Source organism: Homo sapiens, chromosome 4, assembly GCF_000001405.40.
Source record: "Homo sapiens chromosome 4, GRCh38.p14 Primary Assembly".
Taxonomy (NCBI): domain Eukaryota; kingdom Metazoa; phylum Chordata; class Mammalia; order Primates; family Hominidae; genus Homo; species Homo sapiens.
Window position 1 is genome coordinate 78646934 of NC_000004.12, and position 19707 is coordinate 78666640.

The window sequence follows — 19707 nt, forward strand, 5'->3', positions numbered from 1 at the left end:
GCCTATTGGGTTCAAGCAGTTCTCCCGCCTCAGCCTCTCAAGTAGCTGGGACTACAGGCACCCACCACTACGCCTGGCTAATTTTTGTATTTTTAGTAGAGACGGGGTTTCACCATATTGGCCAGGCTGGTCTCAAACTCCTGACCTCATGATCCGCCCGCCTCGGCCTCCCAAGGAGTTCCTTATTTTAATATTTGCTGAAAATTCTCCACCATAATTTAAACATGTAATGATAAGAAAAATATCTGCTTCTGACTGAATATTTAGAAAACACAGAGCTATATAACATAGAAAAAAACCCAAGTCGACCACTGACAAATAATTATTAGGACTATTTCTTTTCATTCTGTGTTCTCTGCACATATGAAAGTAAAAAATTGGAATCATATTGTATATACAGTTTTATATTAATTTTTTTACATAGTCACTTTAATAACAATACATATGCTATGTTATCACTATAGAATGTAAATTCAGGTTAGACAAGAAAATTTCACAAGTGTAATAAAGCATTCTAATTAGCTGGGCGTGGTGGTGTGCACCTGTAGTCCCAGCTACTCTGGAGGCTGATGTGGTAAGATTGCTTGAGTCTGGGAAGTTAAGGCTTCAGCGAGCTGTGATCATGCCACTGCACTCTAGAGCCTGGGTGACAGAGCAAGACCCCATCTAAAAATATATATATATAAATTAAGCATTTTGCCTTTTATCAAAGTTTGTGTATAGTATCTGGCCAAACCCGCTTGCTCATTAGTCACTTTCATTATAGGTAATTTGTTTAGTTTCTTGTTTATGATTCTTCTGGAGAAAATTTGAAAAGTGTTCTTCACTTACCTTAGCATGAGTGCTTAAAATAGGATGACATTTAAAAATTATTCTAATATAACAGCAGCTAAAATATAATTCTGCACTTATAAAAGAGCTAAACTGGAGTTCATAATTAAGTTATTCTCATGTTTACAATTATGATTCTGAAATAAATACTGTTACTATGAAGCTCTATTGTAAGCTTTCTTGATTCGGTTTAGACACACATACATACACTTAAGAGTTGTGAGAGGCGTTACAAGTTGTTAATGTATTCCATGCACGTTTCAGAAAAGTTCTAATAGAGACAGCCAGTTCACAAGACAGGAAGAAGAAAAGTTAGATTAACCAGGGCAGATAAGACTCCTATATAACATACAAAGCATGTGAAATTCTTCAGCAAACTGGGAATACTTCAGGGATCGCCAGCTATCTTCTTTAGAACTAATTTCTTCTTTCTTTTCTTTTCTTTTCTTTTCCTTTCTTTTCTTTTCTGTTTCTTTTCTTTTTTCTTCTTTCTTTCTCCCTTCCTTCCTTCCTTCCTTCCTTCCTTCCTTCCTTCCTCCCTCCCTCCCTCCCTCTCTCTCTCTCTTTCTTTCTTTCTTTCTTTCTTCCCTTCTTTCATCTTTCTTTTCTGTCTCCCTCTATCACCCAGGCTGGAGTACAGTAACTGCAACCTCCGCCTCCCAGGTTCCGGTGATTCTCATGGCTCAGTCTCCCAAGGAGCTGGGATTACAGGCATGTGTCACCACCCTCAGCTAATTGTGTGTGTGTGTGTGTGTGTGTGTGTGTGTGTGTGTGTGTGTGTGTATGTATTTTTGGTAGAGACAGGGTTTTGCTATGTTGGCCAGGCTGGTCTCAAACTCCTGGCCTCTAGTGATCCACCCGCCTTGGCCTCTCAAAGTGCTGGGATTACAGGAATGAGCCACCACACCCGGTCCTAATTTAATCTTTACAGTCTAAGAAGGTGGTTTTAAAGTTTTAACATCATCAAGTGGAATTAGGTGACATGTTTCCTTTGTGTTAACTTGACTTCCCTGAATGACCTAGTTAGTGAACTAGTCACTAGTAATTTGGTCACCAGGCAAATCAAGCATGCAAGAAAGGAAGCCAGTATTCAAAATACCGTGTTATCGTCTGAACCCACTCAAATAATTTATTTCCAACATAAACATGTAACCTCAATAATGAGATGTCTAACTAAAGTAAGGTCCTCTTACAAGATCAAGACAGCATCCTCCTTCCAAGGCTTAGGCTTTGCCCAGAATTCCTAATACACAGAACAGCCCATACCAACAGTCATTGCTTCTACAACACATGTGGATCAGGAGAAGGGACCTTTTAGCATTTCCTCTGCTCTTCCATTTGTATAATCCTTATGGAACAATTGCTGGAAAGCCTGCCATTCCAGTGAGAACAAATGGTGGCTCTTCAACTTTTCGAACAAGTTTGGATCCTTGATCTTTATCATAGGAAGAAAGGGAAACATCTGTGTCTGTTGACATAGTGATTGAAGAATCTTCCTAGAGTGAGAAAATCTCTCACAATCCAACTGACCTCTATATTAATTTTTTATCTAACATATTATAGTCATTTGCCATGTTATTAAGCATTGTTGTAAACATTGCTTTTAATGCTTATATAATATTTTATCTTACAGGTGTATGACAATTTATTTAAAAGTTCCCCTTCTTGGGATGCTTAGAGTGTTTCCACATTTTTAAATTATAAATAACACTTATGGACATCTGTACATATAAATCTTTTACCACAAATAAAATTGTTTCCCTAGGATTCACGTAAAAAAACATGGAGCAAGGTTTGAAGCTGTTGAACTCTATGGTTCCTTCTTCTTCTTTCCAGGCACGCTACATTCAAATGACTTGGAAGAGCAGGTTCTCTGAGCCAGGATACTAAAGTCCCTGTTTAGGAAAGAGCCACGTTGTATGTTTACCCTACCACAAAGATACAGGTGAGAAAAACTGAAGCCTGGGATGGTGGACCAAAGAGAGACACTGACAGAATGAGCCCTAGACTTCCAGAGTCTGGGAAACTTAGGCCAGATAAAGACTAGTAGTCTGGCAGTTATTACTGGGAATCACTCTTACTCTACAGCTAGGCGTGTGCCATTCCTCCTGTCCCTTAACTAGAAACTCCCTATGGATAACCTGGCTTCTCATTCCACTGGGAAAATTGAAGCATGCAGTAGAGACCTTCCACAAGCTCCCTCCACCACCTCTTACCCACTTGCCTGTCTCTATGCACATAAATATCTGTCTTCTTTTCTTTCAATACCATGTATAGGTTGACAACACTCACATTTTCATATCTCCAGCCCAGATTTCTCCCGTGTGTCTTGACTTGATATCTAATTTCCTACATGACATCTCTCTTTGGATGACTAATAATCATCTCAAATGTGTATGTCCAATACCAGACTGCTGATCTGCCTCCAAACCTGTTTTTCCTGTAGTCTTGTGCACATAAGTTGAAGGCAACGCCATCTTTTTACTTTCTCATGCCAAAAAACTTGGAGTCCTTTTTGATTTATCTCTGTCTCTCACACCCCACATCCCATCCATCAGCAAATATTTGCATCATGTCTCACTGGATACTGCAACCATCTCCTTGCTGATCTCACTGCTTTTCAGCCTATTTCACAACCCAGCGGTTGAAATAGTTCTTTTAAAACATAGGTCAGATCATGTCATTTCTCAAACCTACCAAATACTTCCATTTCACTCAGAGTAAAATACAAAGTCCTTATAATGGCCATACACAATCTGCCCCCTCCCCATCTCCTTACCCATCTCACTTCATGTCCTGCTATTTTCTCCTTTGTTTGTCTCTGCTGCAGCCACACTGGCCTTCTTACTGTTCTATAAATATGCCAGGCACTTTCCTGCCTCAGGGTCTATGTACTTCCCATGCTTTCTGCTCTTCCAGATTTCTGCAGAGCTCATTTCCTACCTCCTTTATGTCTTTACTTGTTCATCTTCTCATGCGACTTTCCTACCATGTTTAATTGCAAACTCCTGCCCCCAACACTCCATGTCTCTCTTTCTACCTTATTTTTCTCCATCATGCTTATCACTCACCAACAGACCTCACTTATTTGGTTTATTGTCTGTCTGCCCCTACTGACAGACAGTTCTTTTATCTATTTTGATCATTGCTGTATACTTAGCACCTAGATAGTGCCTGGCACATACTTGGTGCTTCAAATACACTTGCTGAATAAAGTATGGGCATGCTATGAAAAGGCATAGATAGGTAAGGACTTTTGGGTCCAGATTGTGAGAAAGTCATTGGCACCAAGATGTTTTCACTCAATTTTCTGAGTCCTATTACAGAATCCTGGCCAAAAGTATAATACACCAAAGAACCAGAATTATCACAGGTGAAGTAAACCAGGCCAATTGTTTTCTAGATCCTCTTAGGTATTTTTGTGAATTATACATGTTATGGGAAATTTTAAACTTGTCTATACTAAAGCAAATTAGAATGCTTTGATAAAGCTTATTTTGGATTTCTCAGTGCTTCTCCTTGGTCACAAAATATGGCAAGGGGTTCTAGAAATAGATTTAGTGGGGGAAGGAAAGAAACTAACATGGAATCGAGTGACTTCTAAATTTCTAAACCCCTTACATCTCATTTAAACTTTTGACAACTTTTGAGTCAAGAAACATTATTCCAGCTATGAATATATACAAATTGAGGTTCGGGCCTGGTGAAATGACTCATGCTGGTAATCTCAGCACTTTGGGAGGCCAAGGCAAGAGGACGGCTTGAGCCCAGGATTTTGAGACCAGCATAGGCAACACAGCAAGACTCTCTCTCTACAAAAAATTAAAAATTTATCTGGGCATGGTGACACACACCTGTAATCTCAGCTACTCAAGACGCTGATCTGGGAGGATCACTTGAGCCTAAGAAATCAAGGCTGCAGTGAGTCATGATTGTGCCACAGCACTCCAGCCTGGGTGACAGAGCAAGACCTTGTCTCAAAAAACAAAAAAAAATCAAACTGAGGTTCAGAGAGAAATATTAATTTCTCCAATTTTGCACAGCCAGCAAATGGCAGGCTTAGAATTCCATCCACTAGCTAACTGAGTAGTATAGGACCTAGACCAAGCTTGTCCAACCCACGGCCCACAGACTGCATGTGGTCCAGGACATCTTTGAATATGGCCTAGAACAAATCTGTAAACTTTCTTAAACATTATGAGATTGTTTTGCGATTTTTTTTAAGCTCATCAGCTATCATTGGTGTTAGTGTATTTTATGTGTGGCCCAAGACAATTTTTCTTCCAATGTGGCCCAGGGAAGCCTTGAACACCCTGACTTAGACTTTATAGCTAATAGCTTGACAAATTAGGTGACTTAGGAGAAATCATTTAATATTTGTCTCAGTTGTCTGCCAAAAAAAAAAAAAAATGTAAATTCACTTCAGACACACATCTTAGAATAACCCAGGGTGATAATTTCAGATTTTTCTGGCTCTTGTTTATTTCTTAGCTCCTTCAGAAGAAAGAAAATGTTCTAAATGTTAGGATCCACTGGGGCTGTTATGTTTCCTAGTTCAAATCTTTAAACTGTTGTTAAACCACAACAATTACCACAAGCACAGAGCCTCCTGGAACATTTTCCCAAGTAAAACAAATACTCTAGCTGTGTGAGGGTATCAGGCAAAGCTAGAAATGGGACTCCTTGCTGGCTATCCATGTGAAGGGCTTTGTTTAAGGAAATGCTATGTTGCCAGCACAGTCACTTGTCAAAGACAATAGCTGTTGGCAAAGCATTAATATGTGAGGATTGGGAGAGCTGCCAGTGGAAGCAAACTGTTTTGTGGTGTGTACAATGTTGTGCTGGGACATCAGCTGAAGTTCACCATTGATGACCATCTGAAAACTGCCTTCCACTCACAGTACACTCAAATGGACAACTCAGCAAATTGAAGAATGAATTTCTAGGGAGAGGCAACACGGTATAATTAATGAAAAAAGAACTAGAATAGAAGTGAAAACCCCTCATTTTAATTCCAATGTTGTGACTCTGATACCTCCTTTAATTTCCCTGCATCATTTTCCTTATTCACTCACTTACCCAGGCACTCAACCAGGCATCCAGCAAGTATGTATTGAATGCCAGCTTGTATTCAAGGCACTGGGTGAAATGATGTGATCATTTCATGATTCTGCTTTATGTATGTTAGAGATAATAGTCCCATCTGCCTCAAATTGATGTAATGAGGATGAAAACCCAGTTTCCACTTTGGTAGAAATGGAAATATGTTTGTCTTGCCTACTTCATGGATCTATTATGAGAATCATAAGAGATAATTATGTGGGTATACTTAATGAACTTAAAGTGTTAGATAGATATGCGAAAAATAAGTAAATAAATACTTTGACCAGAACAAAACTTACATCATTGCTGAATATTACTTGGGGAGAGAGGCAGAGAGAGAGAGAGGCAGAGAGAGACAGAGAGAGAGACAGACAGAGACAGAGAAAGAAAATGCAAATGAGATCCAGTGCCACTTACCTATTCTTTTCTTTTTTTCAGTGAAAGCAAGACTTACAACGATAAAAATAGAAGTTAGTTTCAATAATTATTTTTATAATTTTTTCAGTGAAAATCCACAGACAAGAACCAAACTCATGGTTCTCAAATTATACTCTTATACTGATTATCAGTAGTTTTAGGTGTTTGGGTTCTGAAATTCAATGCTAGGACTGGGAGTAGAGGATTTTATTGCTAATATATCAGGATTAGGTTTTGCTGCACATTTAAAAAAAAAAAAAAAGCAAACTACCAAAGCCTAAAGCAAGCTGGAATTTGGGGGTTTCTTTTCTCAGATAAAAGGAGTTGGAAGAGAAACTATCTAGCTATGGCCACTCCATAATATCATCTGGGACCCCCAGGCTCTTTTCTCTATTATCTTAACACATGGCTTTTATTATTAAGGTCATCTCTGGGCTGCTGAAGCTCCAGTTATCACACCTGCATTGCAAGCCAAAATAAGAAGGAGATGCAGAAAGTATCACCCCCAGCTGAGTAAAATTGTGTTAAGTAGCCCTTCTAAACGTTTTATCTAGGAATTATGCTTTCATATCTTTGACAGAGATTAGTCACGTGGCCACAGTTAGCCACAGGGGTGACTAGGAAATGTAGTTTTTGTCTTGAGAGCTATTCTGCTGGGATAAGAATCAAGGTTAGGCAACTAGCTATCTTTTCCACACAAAATATTACAGAAAAAAGATGTTAATGGATAGAATGTTCTCAATTACACATTTTTCTCCATACCTTTTACATATTCCTTTGGTTTTAAGAATATTATCATTCTCCTATAATAGTATACAATAGTATATGATTCAAAACAAAATTATAAACTGGATTTTTTTAACAATCTATTTATATTTCATTTTATCCTACAAAGAGCAACATGATTTTCAGTTGTTTTATCACATGAATATATTCAAGCCCCATTAATCCAAATCAAATAAAATTATGGAAGTCTAGAAATCCATTCTGTATGGAAGCAAGCTAACAGCAGCGTTCCATCTTCTAACAGCCTTAGCCCAGGAGCATTTACCAGTAAGCATATTGATTTGAGCGTCAGCATAAAATAAGGCATCCCTGAATTTTTACCAACAAAGAAAAGTGTCCTTGCACTGTGGTCACAGCATGTGTATCTTTCTACATCTGCCCTCAAATTCCCAACAACATGATTGTGCTCTGAGTGGAAGCCTCTTGGTGTTCTGTGTTGCCTTCATCCATATAAGTATATGTAGGTCTTTCTGTTCATTTAGAGTTTGCCTTTTGTGTGTGTGACAGGGTCTTACTCTGTCATCTAGGCTAGATAGAGTGCACCAGTGTGATTGTAGCTCACTGCAGACTTGACTTCGTGGGCTAAAGAGATCTTCCTGCCTCAGCCTCAGCCCCTGACCCCTGACCCCCAGGAATTACTGGTGCATACCACTATGCCCAGCTAATTTTTTATTCTTTATTTTTTAGAGATGGGGTCTGATTATGTTTCCCAGGCTGGTCTCAAACTCCTGGGCTCAAGTGATCCTTCCACCCCACTGTCCCAAGTGTTAGAGCACATCATGGGTGTCAGCTACTGCACCCAGAGAGAATCTGCCTTAAGACTTTAAAGAATTCTGAGCAATAGTGTCTGAGGGGCTCATTCCCTAACCTAACGAGGATTACAAACCAGCTGGGTTATGAAAGAGCAGCAGCCATCCAAAACTGTCCTGATTGGGGAAGTGAACTCTGCATGCCACAAAGCAGGAATGGCAGCCAAATGAGAAACATATGCTCTGGATTCTGATGCAAAGTTTTTATTTCTTTAAAAACAACTGCATTAAAGTGACATAAACTTAAATTTAATCCAATTTGGACCTTACTGGAAAACAGTATGAATTTTGGGTGAAATATTTTGGAGAAATTTGAAATATCTACTATGTTATGTGACCTTAGACAAAGAACTTAACCACACCAAGTTATTGTTATTATATGAATAATAACAGTAATGTCAAATAGCAATAATAATGCCAAAAGAACTGACAGTCTTTTTGAAGATTACTGTGTCAAGAGTGTAAGTTACGTTAGAAAGATACACATGCTGGCCGAGCGCGGTGGCTCACGCCTGTTATCTCGGCACTCTGGAAGGCTGAGGTGGATGGATCACCTGGGGCCAGGAGTTCAAGACCAGCCTGGGCAACATAGTGAAACCCTGTCTCTACTAAAAATACAAAAATTAGCTGGGCATATTGGTGGGCGCCTGTAATCCCAGCTACTTGGGAGGCTGAGTCACGAGAATTGCTGGAACCCAGGAGGCGGAGGTTGCAGTGAGCCAAGATCATGCCACTGCACTCCAGCCTGGGTGACAGAGAAAGATTCCAAAAAAAAAAAAAGAAAGAAAGAAAAGAAAAGAAAGACGGGAAGGAAGGAAGGAACGGAGGGAGGGAGGGAGGGAGGGAAAGATACACGTCCTGTGGCCACAGTACAAGGACATTTTTCTTGGTTGGGAAAAATTCAGGGGTGCCTTATTTTATGCTGATGTTCAAATCAATATTCTAAGTTATAATAAGGCTGTTACATTAGACTCTTAACACAGTAATCTTCAAAAAGTAATGCTATATTATTAAATAAGTGTACATAAAATAACTTACTGGTCATTCTCTTCTTAGTCCAAGGATTTTGTCACTAACCTGCTAAAATTCTTTTAGCAAGACTTTTAATTAGAGGTCAAAAATTTACTCACTCTAATGAGGGACTTGAATTTTACAATCTGTAATAACTGACTTGACGTTGGGCCTTATTATCTCGGATTCTTTCATCTTCCTTGGGTTGTTCCTTAATTCTGGGCATTTTGCTGCCCATTACCTCTCTCTTCAAAGGTTGGCAAAGGGACATAGCAACAATTCTGGTAAACAGAGCAAATGGAAATGGAAATGAGCCAGAGGTGTGCTCAGTAGAATGTCATGTCATGTATTGATCAAATGGCACAGAGAACCCAGGCTCTGGAGTCAAGACTGGGAAGCTATTGTCATAAACTATTCTACATTGGCCCGTAACTTGAGCCTTAACAAATCATACAACCTCAGAGACTTCATCTATAAATTGAAAGTGTTAATATCATATACCTTTTAAGATTTTTTGGCCAGATGCAGTGGTTCATGCCTGTAATTCCAGCACTTCGGGAGGATCACTTGAGCTCAGGAGTTAGAGACCAGTCTGGGCAACATAGTGGGACCCTGTTTCTACTAAAAATAAAAAAAAAAAACTAGGCAAGTGTGGTGGGGCATGCATGTAGTCCGAGCTACTCAGGAGGCTGAAGCAGGAGGATCTCTTGAGCCTGGAAAATCAAGGCTGCAGTGAGCCATGATCAGGTTACTGCACTCCAGCCTGGGTGACAAAGGGAGACCCTGTCTCAAAAAAACAAGCAAAAAAATATTTGTCAGGATTAAATGATGTTACCTATAAAGTATTGTGGGCATTGTGTTAATTGTTACCTATTACTATTAACCAACACCATTATGAGATATCTCTATATGTTAGCAACAGAAATAAATTTATCCATTTATTTCAAACAGTATTTGATTCAATGCAATTCTAGTACAATAGAATACTCCTAGAATGATAATAATATGACTAAGTTTGTTTTTAGGTCATTTCAATAAGAAAATTTAGACTTCGTTATCTATTTGTCAATGCTTATTTAATCCATAGTTCATTCTGAGTCCCTCGCCACTTTTACATTGTCCTTTTCGAGTGTCTTTCACAGCCCTGTGGCTTTAATGCGTTGCTGTCTTCCCAATTCACAGTTCAGTTTCATCAGCACTCCTGTTTCCTGTTTTGTCACTGTCTAGGCTGCCTGTTTTGCACCTCGAACTCCTTCCTCTTCCTCTTCAAAGGATATCGTCAACATTTCCAGTAGGGATGGGCAATGAATGCCACAAACGTTTCTTGCTGCAGCTCTTCCTTTTCTTTCTTTTTCTTTTTTTAACCTCCTTTGAACCTTCATAAGCTTCCTGTAATGACTGTGTCTCTGTTTCAACTATTTCAGTATTTCTGTGGCTTTTGATTTTGATCTGGATTCACGTCTTCCAGCCAAAACCATCTCAAACAAGTAGTTTGAGGTTTTTGCTGGAAGGTAATTTGAATTTGTTTACATGGCCACCAACTCCCAATTTTAGATGTCCTGAGATTTCTGGAGTAGAGGATTGGCCTTACCAGATTACCTTTCTCTTATTAGCACTATTATTAGCAAAGATGGGCTCTTTCGTTTGTGAGCTAATCATACTTCTTATAATTCTAAATAACTACTTCTAAATCAGGAGAATTAGAAAAGTCTTTCATTTCAGCAGGGTTGAAAAAAGGTTAATTAAAGTCATCCACAGACATAGATATAGCAACATGATTTGATATACATACATCAATAAGAATAGTCATGCACACACATACACAGAAACACACAATTATTCCTTTACAATCTTCTGGCATCTTTTCTGCAAGGAAGCCACAAACACAAACTGGATATGAACAAAATAACTCAGCAGATGACCAATGACCTCTTCCTCCTTCTCATCCTCCTCCTTCTCCTCCTCCTTTTTCTTGTTTTGCCATCATTGTTTAGGTGAAGCGCAAAACAAGTCCCAAATATTTCTGGGCTACTCTCAAATTATTGGGCTCTGTGGCGTGTGCATTTGAATGTTCATTCAATAAATATTCACTGAGAACCTACTATGTCCCAGGTCCTCACAATACAGCTGTGTACAAAACAGACCAGATCCCTGCCATCTGGAACCTCGTACTTGGGTGGGTGATCAGTTTCCAGAATCAGACAGTCTGCTCATTTGAGAAAACTCCTGTGTGGTTCAAGATTCCAGAGGAGAACACTGAGACAGGAGCAGACTGGGTTTATCATATGCCCCATCTCGTGGTTTCCTAACAGGCCAAATGCAATACAGAGAGGGGTATTGCTCACTCTTCCTTCCTGTTTCTGTCACTCAGACAGGAGCTAGATAGTTCCTTTCCTACCAAGCTAAGACTTTTGCTCTCATCAAGTGAGAAGGTCCCTCTTACTTTACAATATTTCTGACCTGAACCCTGGCAACCATAAATCTACTTTTTTTTTTTTTTTTTTTTTTGAGATGAAATCTTGCTCTTGTACCCCAGGCTAGAGTGCAATGGCACCATCTCGGCTCACTGCAACCTCCGCCTCCTGGGTTCAAGTGATTATCCTGCCTCAGCCTCCCGAGTAGCTGGGATTACAGGTGCCTGCCACCATGCCCAGCTAATTCCTGTATTTTTAGTAGAGACGTGGTTTCACCATGTTGGCCAGGCTGGTCTCGAACTCCTGACCTCAGGTGATCTGCCCGCCTTGGCCTCCCAGAGTGCTGGGATTACAGGCGTGAGCCACTGCACCTGGCCCACAAATCTACTTCTATCTCTCACCTTGCCTTGACTTTCACCACAAGACAGAATAGTTCCCCTTAGAGACTTTCATTTGCTCTGTGGTATCACTCTTTAGACTGCCTGAGATACATACTGGAAAATGCCACCTCTTAAAAGGCACCACTAAGTTCTTAATTGAATCCACACTTTAGTCTTTTATCCTTTCGATTTCTATGGTAAAGAACATAGGCCCTGTATTTGCTACTCATATCTCCCATTCATTTGTGTGTGATTATGTAGCTTTTTTAGCTTACACACAGCTATAAAGCATTTTCCAAGTCTTTTTTATATTATCTAGTTTGCATGAAATAAGGATGTAGGAGTATGTTTGGCTTTTGGCTATAGATAGTTGGAAGTATTTCTAAAGATCCACTCTCTTCTGAGCTCTCTTACTGTTCTTGTTTTCAACTAACAGAAATTGGAAAATAAAGATTGTGTGGGTATAAAATGAATGCTTGCAATGTTTGTCATTTTTGGAACTCTATTTCTGTGGCTCTTGACTTTTTTTAAGATGGCTTCACCTAAAAGTTGCTAAGGCCAGGCCAGAGCTCTTCTTATAAACAAATGACAGGGGACATGATAGCCCATAATGAATTCAATCTGGGCTATCTGTGGCGTTGTGTGTGGATAAAAAGTAAAAGCTAATTTTGAGTACAAAGAAAATGAATAAAGCCTCTTGCCACTAAGATAGTTAAGAGAAGACTGTCAGAAGGCAACATCATTCTATGCAGCTGGACCTATGCCCTTCCACAGATGGGAACAATGCCATATGGTTAGGGAGCTTGGCTGTTACCCAAGTGGCTCCTATTCAGTTCTCCATTTGAGCAAGAGTTGAGAGGAGATGGAGAATAGTATTTGGGAGACTTCCTGGGTTCAAGTCCTGCCTCTACCACTTATTTGCTATGTGCTTTCTTAGTAACCTGAAGCAATGAATAACAGTATTAGCCTCATAGGGTTGTTGTAAGGTTTAATTGAGATAGTGCACATTATGCATGCTGCCTACCTGGCACATAGTAATAGGTGGGAGGTATTATTACTGTGATGATGATGATGGGTGTCCAGGGGGAGACCAGTCTGAATGTACCTGGTAGACTCAGTAGGTTACTGGAAGTCAGGAGTCACAAATGTGAACCAGGCAGCAAGCTTTAGAAGGTGATTGACAGGGCAAATTGGCAGGGATTGTTAAGAAAGATACAGAGAATGGTGGTAAAACCAGGAGGAATAAGCATGCCTTTTTCTCTTATTGGAGCAAAGAGGACATTACCTGGTCTGTATCCAACTAGACAAGGGCCTGAACCTTAGAGAAGATGTTGAACCCCACTAGCATTACTTAAGGTCAAACAAGGCAAAAGCGTTTTGGTTTTCTGTTTATTTGTCTGGTTTGGGATATTCCTGGGAAGGAATATTATGGATTTTGCACTTCTAATATCTGACTTCTGTGTAATGGAAGAAAAAAATAGCACTCCAGTAAGCCTTTATAATGCCATACACACATAAAGTGAAACAAGAAGACCCTGTGAAGGATGATAGGAATGACAGATCTCGTCCTACTAAAGGAATAAATTTCCTTCCAAACATATTACAGTTGTATAAGCTATAAAATATATTGCTATAAAATGACTCACCTATTTGAAAATCCTACTGCATAGAGTTTCCACAGTTAGAAAACTGGTATGCGAAAATGTGAAAGTTGGTAAGAATCAAGAAATAGTTTTTTAGTACCTATTGTGTGTAAGGTATTATTACATAATCACAGAATTATACTATTATTTTGCTTTTTGCATAGATTTGCATTACCTAGTCAATATTTAACTGATTTATTTAACCTTTGTAAAACAAATTCAGAATCTCATACTGAGACTTAGGAAGTATATACAGTAGTTCCCCCCTTATCCGTGGTTTTGCTTTCCATAATTTCAGCTACCTGCAGTCAACCACGATCTGAAGATGTTTAAGGGAAAATTTTGGAAATTAACAACTCATAAGTTTTAAATTGTGCACCATTCTGAGTAGTGTGATGAAATCTCACAGCATTCCGCTCAGTCCCTTCCAAAGGTGAATCATCTTTTGGTCCAGTTATCTGCACTGTAGATGCAACCATCTAGATTATCAGATTGAAAAAACATAGTATAGACAGTCTAGGGTTCAGTACTATGCACAGTTTCAGGCATCTACTAAGTCTTGGAACGTATCCTTCAAGGATAAGGGGGAACTATTCTATTCATAAATTCATAGAATTTTAAAGCTGGAAGAACTCCGAAGGGAATGAAAATCAGTGTCCTAGGCTTTCCTTAAAATGCTAGGTAATGTCCTAAGGAGCTTTTGAAATTTTAAATTATTTTTAAAACACTTTATAAAAGAAATTTTTTAGTCAAATATATCAGTGCTCACTAAATCCCCACCTATTATAAGAATTTACTCATCCTAGCAATGTCAACTTTAGGAAGCATAAGAATAGAAACTGAGATAATATAAATGACTTATTCAAGGGGAATGGCATTAATCAGTCAACAAAGTGAGATAATCAGTAGAGCATCTGAAAAAATAAGACCTCTCATATGACCTGTTTGTTTATTTCTGTTCCCAGATGACAAATATTTTTTGAATTCTGCCCAGCTCCTCTTGGGGTAGACAAATATTAAAACAGAAAAAAGTGGCAAGGTGCTTTTGTTCAGTGTGGGCTCATGGGGAAAAGTCCTATAATATTTTCAGCTGGTCACTATGAAGGCAGCCAGCAGTGAGCTCAGCCGACATTGTTGTGGGATGGCACTATGACATCGATTAACGGAAAACTGAATGTTGAAATTATGCAGCAGAGGAAAAGAAAAGGAGGAGGACAATAACAAAATTTTCCAAACAGAAAATCACAAGGTCCACATAGGAAAAGTATAGTTTTCAAACTCCAGAAGATATTTGCAAACACCAGTGAGCAAGCTATGAATCTTGTTTTCCCATAGGCCCTACCATCAGTAGAGATCCCAGGTAGAGCAATTTACCTGCACATTGTTGCCAGGGAACAAGGGAAGGCGAGTCAAACTATTTGGGGATTTAGCTGAGCTTTGAAATAACTGAAAAGCTATGCTTCAATTTTTAAGAGTTCATCAGGTAGGATTTCTAGGATTGTAAGGTCCTCACTCTAGAACTTCTGAAAATAATCAGATGAATCGGAATTAAAGAACTAATGGCCTTAATTGTGTCTAAATAGGAATGAAGTAACAATGACTGTCATCATGAGCTATTCTCTTCTATGGCTCTGGACGGTCTTTTTTTTTTTTTTTTTCTGTTCAGAGCTTCCTGCTTGGTGTTTGCCTAAGTAGGGAGGAAAGCCATTGTTTGAACTTTGCAACAACAGATTGCAAGCTAAGGCTTTTCTACACTTTGTTTAATTTTCCTGAAATGTTCCTTTTTACAGAAAAGATCTGTTGTTGACCTAGCATGCTTTTTGTCTTACTCAATACTCCCCTGGGGATGTAGTTAAAACAACACTTAGCTGTAATTCTCCTGGGTGGAGAAGTGTTTGGTGGTGGCAATGAAACTAAAGCACAGATTTGAGCAACTGTGGGCTGTTGACTTTATGCTAGCCTTTCATAAAGAGAAACCTCAAAACACCGTGGCCATTCAGCAAACAGTGTGAGTTTCATCTAAGCCTGGCTGGCTTTGCCCTTGCTATCTTCGGGCTAGAATGATCCTAACCATCAGTGTCTTTGTGTCATGATGCAGAAAGTTGGCTAGGACATAGGAGGATAATGCTGAAGTATAACTTCTGAGTGGGGGAGGGAATCAGGCAGAGAAGTAAAGCTCTACACAATGGCTAGTGCTTCTGTATTATGATGTGTGTTCCAACGGAGGTCAATCATTGTGCATTGTCTCTAGGGAGTGAATACAGCATATTATTTTGGGGTAGAAATTGAGATTTCTTTTGGTGGTAAAATATACAGAAAATAGAAACTCTCTGTACTTGATTTCTTTAAGTTTATTTAAATACCTTCAAAGGTATTCTTCTATGAGAAGGAACATGACATAATAGGACTCTAAAAATGAAACTGTTTTAGTGATGGAAATTTTCCATATCAAATCTACTATAGCCACTAGGATATATTACCAAAGTTTTTAAAAATTCTTGTGTGCAGTGAACTTTGTTGATTGCCTACTCAGCAAAAAATCATCTCCTGTGTTCCTAATGAACCTCAATTTTGCTTTCCTCTCTTCTAGTCATGTGCCTGGGAAAGATTGATGCCAGCTCCAGAAAGGCATCCGAATGGTCTAAGTAATGCCATCCATCTGTCAGTAATAGATTCAGAAATGGGTATGTGATTCAAGTCTGGCCAATGAGATGTATGCAGAAGAGTGCTGGGTATTCTGGAAAATTATCCCTTGTCATTCAGAGATCCACAGGAATCCAGCCTTTTGCTCCTTGAATGGGATAAGGAAGCACATAATCCCAGTTGCTCTTCCAGTCATCCCAGACCCACAGCCCTGCTTTAGCCATCCTATAGCCATCATATATTCACAAGGGGAGAGCAACTGAGGACAACACTGTGGATCCTTGTGACATAACCAAGCCAGTGAACCAATCAATACATTTATTTATTGTTTGAGCCATTGTAGTTGAGCTTACGTTACTGGCAGCTGAAAGCTGAAAGTTATTCTATCTGCCAATCCTCATCTTGCACGTCTCTTAGTTTTGCTCTTATCTCTCCTTTTCCTCTTTTTCACACATAAATCCCAATCTTTGTTCCAACTCACACTGTCAACACTCTGACCTTTCCCTCTTGCTTTCTTTTCCTCTTCTCTCTGTCCCTCTCCCTTTTGCCTTTCTTTCTGCCAGTGCTACCCACAGGTATATCTTAAATCTTATTAGCCATAGCCATGACCAAAGACTAGGACCACCACTAGGTATAACTGGATTAGGTGGAGTTTTGCTCATTTGCCCTCCTTTGTACTTTCGACATCAACATCCCTCACCCCTCAGCAATTCTCTCCACTGTGCCCCACTCCATATAACAAAAAGTCTTGTGTGCTCTGAAACATCCACCCAAAAACTATATTTTCACTAAAATTCCTTTGGTGATAATGCCTTAACATGGTGGTTTCCAAAGCTTTTTAAAACCATAACCCACATTAAGTATCCTCACTCAGTATACACAGAATATACACATAGGCACTTGATATAGTCTGGATATTTGTCCCTGCCCAACTCTTATGTTGAATTGTAATCCCCAGTGCTAGAGGTGGGGCTTGGTGGGAGGGTGTTTGGATCCCTCATGGCTTGGTGCTGTCTTCACAATAGTGAGTTCTCTAGACATCTGGTCATTTGAAAGTGTGTGGCACCTTCCCCCTCTCCTTGCTTCTGCTCTGACTATGTGACATGCCTGCTTTCCTGCTTTCCTTTTGCCTTCTGCCATGATCATAAGCTTCCTGAGGACTTCCCAGAAGTCAAGCTGATGCTAGCATCATTGCTTCCTGCAAAGCCTGCAGAGCTGTGAACCTCTTTTCTTTATGAATTATCCAGTCTCAGGTATTTCTTTATAATGTGAAAGGAAAATAAACCTTGGGGCCCCCAAATCACTAAGCTAAATGGAAAAGTCAAGCTGGGAACTGCTTAGAGCAAACCTGCCTCCCATTCTATTCAAAGTCATCCCTCTGCTCACTGAGATAGATGTATATCTGATTGCCTCCTTTGGAAAGGCTAATCAGAAACTCAAAAGAATGAAACCATTCATTTGTCTCTCGCCTATCTGTGACCTGGAAGCCCCCTCTCTGCTTCGGCTTCAAGGCTTCCTGCCTTTGCTTCAAGTTGTCGCGCCTTTCCAGACCCAACCAATGTACTTCTTACATATACTGATTGATGCTTCATGTCTCCCTAAAATGTATAAAACTCAGCTGTGCCCCAGCCACCTTGGCCACATGTCATCAGGACTCCCTGAGGCTGTGCCGCAGGCTCATCTTCAACCTTGGCAAAATAAACTTTCTAAATTAACTGAGACCTGTCTCAGATTTTCGGGGTTTAGAGTAGCAATGCAAGAAGGGACTAACACAACACTGCAGGAAAAGTTCTATGAAACACACTTACCTTTACTACCAGTGACACATTCTGATATTACATATTCTGTTCTATTTCATTTTTAAAAAGTGTTTGTCTGTACTCACTAAATTGATGTCATGGATAGTTGTTGTGACCACCAAAAACACTTCCTTCACCCACAGCAGAAATTCTGGTGGTCGTGTGATAAACTTGTCAAAAAGTCCTTTGAGGGTAATTAGACTCATACTTAAACCTGAATAAAATGACAGCCAACACCAACTAAAAGAAGTTCTGTCTGTGTCAATTTGGATACATTGTTTCCCCTAAAAAAATGAAGAGTGAGTGAGAATATATGAATGCTGACACCTGATGTGTTCCTAGTAATTTCAGGGGATCTTTCTGAAATGGCAAAAGTGTTTAAGAAACACCATTATAATTATTTCTGAAAGTAAAGATGTTTCCTGCAAAAGCTATTTGAGTCCCAGAGCCAATTCATTAATTGGTTTTATGTTTGACTTTTTAGAGCCCATTAAATATATCTATTTGGTTATTCATTTGGCAGCTATGCTACTTCTTTAAGAGCTGGGAATGGCAGATTGTCTATAAGAATCATTTTTATAACATGGATTGTGGTAAAAATGTGTTAGCTTTCTTGTTGATAACTACTTGTTATCAGCTAGAACCACTTTTACAGCCTGTACCATGTGAAGGCCTCACATATAAAGTCCATAGCATGTTTGAAAGTCACATGATATCTAGAAAAGCCCTGTATAAACTGGAAAGCATTGTGTAAACACAAAATATTATTATTATGCATTTTTTTAAAGTAAGAAACTCTTGCCTAAGAAGTCAGTCATCCCCATGGTTAGAACATGTCTCCCAAAGTTCATGTGTTGGAAACTTAATTGCCATTGTAACAATATTAAGAGGTGGGGCCTTTAAGAAGTGATTAGGTCATGAGGGCTTTGTCCTCATGAATGGACTAATGTTGTTATCATGGGAATGGGTTAATTGTGGTGAGCCTGGCCCCCTTTTTCTTTCTGCTTCATCTGCCCCTTTCTGCCATCCATCCTTTTGCCATGGAATGACTCCTGCCAGATGCCAGTACTATGCTCTCAGCCTTCCTGGCGTTCAGAACCATGAACAGAATAAATTTCTTTTTTTAATAAATTACCCATCTCTGGTATTCTGCTATAACAGCCAAAAATTGACTAGGGCCTTCATGAATTTTGAATGCCAATGAATTTTAATGTTTTTGTTAATGGTACTGAGTTCTATAAATGTTTTTCCCCACCCTCTAATTGATACGCACACACATGCACACACACACACACACATGCATACATATGCACATACATATTAGACTTTTAAGCCTATATTCAATACAATACAGGCTGGTTGCTAATTTACAAACCCTATTTTCTCTTTTATAAGATATATTAGAAGGTAGGTTTTCTTCTATATGTAGTTATAGTTGTGGTGTGATATGCCCAGAATTACTGTGAGATATGTTAAATGGTACAGTATAGCTTTAGTAGTTAAGGTTTTGGAGACAGAAAGACTCCAAATGCAATCTTACATTTAACAAGGTCTGTGAATTTGGGTGAGTTACTTAACCTTCCAAGCTCTGATGTTCCTCATCTGTCAGATGAGGTTAATATAATGCACCTCACAAAGATGTTATAGAATTGAATTTATCTCTACTCATTAAATTAATTTCATAATTTACTAATGGGTCATGACCACCAAAAACACAGGCTTAACCCACAGAAGAAATTCTGATATTAAGAATCATGGAGCCAGGTGCAGTGGTGCATGTCTGTAGTCCCAGATACTCAGGAGGCTAAGGCAGGAGGATTGCTTGAGCCCAGGAGGTGGAGGCTGCAGTGATATGATTGTGCCACTGTACT

The 19707-nt window shown here is 39.3% G+C and overlaps 1 long non-coding RNA gene and 1 pseudogene across 6 annotated transcripts in view; one reads left to right on the top strand and one right to left on the bottom strand.

Moving 5' to 3' along the window:
• The window catches only part of LINC01094 (long intergenic non-protein coding RNA 1094), a 38508-nt gene that overhangs the window by 940 nt on the left and 17861 nt on the right, over positions 1 to 19707 (top strand). For 2 of the 6 annotated variants that reach the window (NR_038303.1, NR_038304.1), the window contains exons 2-3: positions 2668 to 2776; positions 15985 to 16078. This is a non-coding gene — a long non-coding RNA (long intergenic non-protein coding RNA 1094). The remainder of the gene's footprint in view (positions 1 to 2667; positions 2777 to 15984; positions 16079 to 19707) is intronic. The other 4 variants (NR_038305.1, NR_038306.1, NR_038307.1 and 1 more) reach the window with 3 other exon arrangements.
• On the bottom strand, positions 2051 to 2318 carry HIGD1AP13 (HIG1 hypoxia inducible domain family member 1A pseudogene 13; annotated as a pseudogene).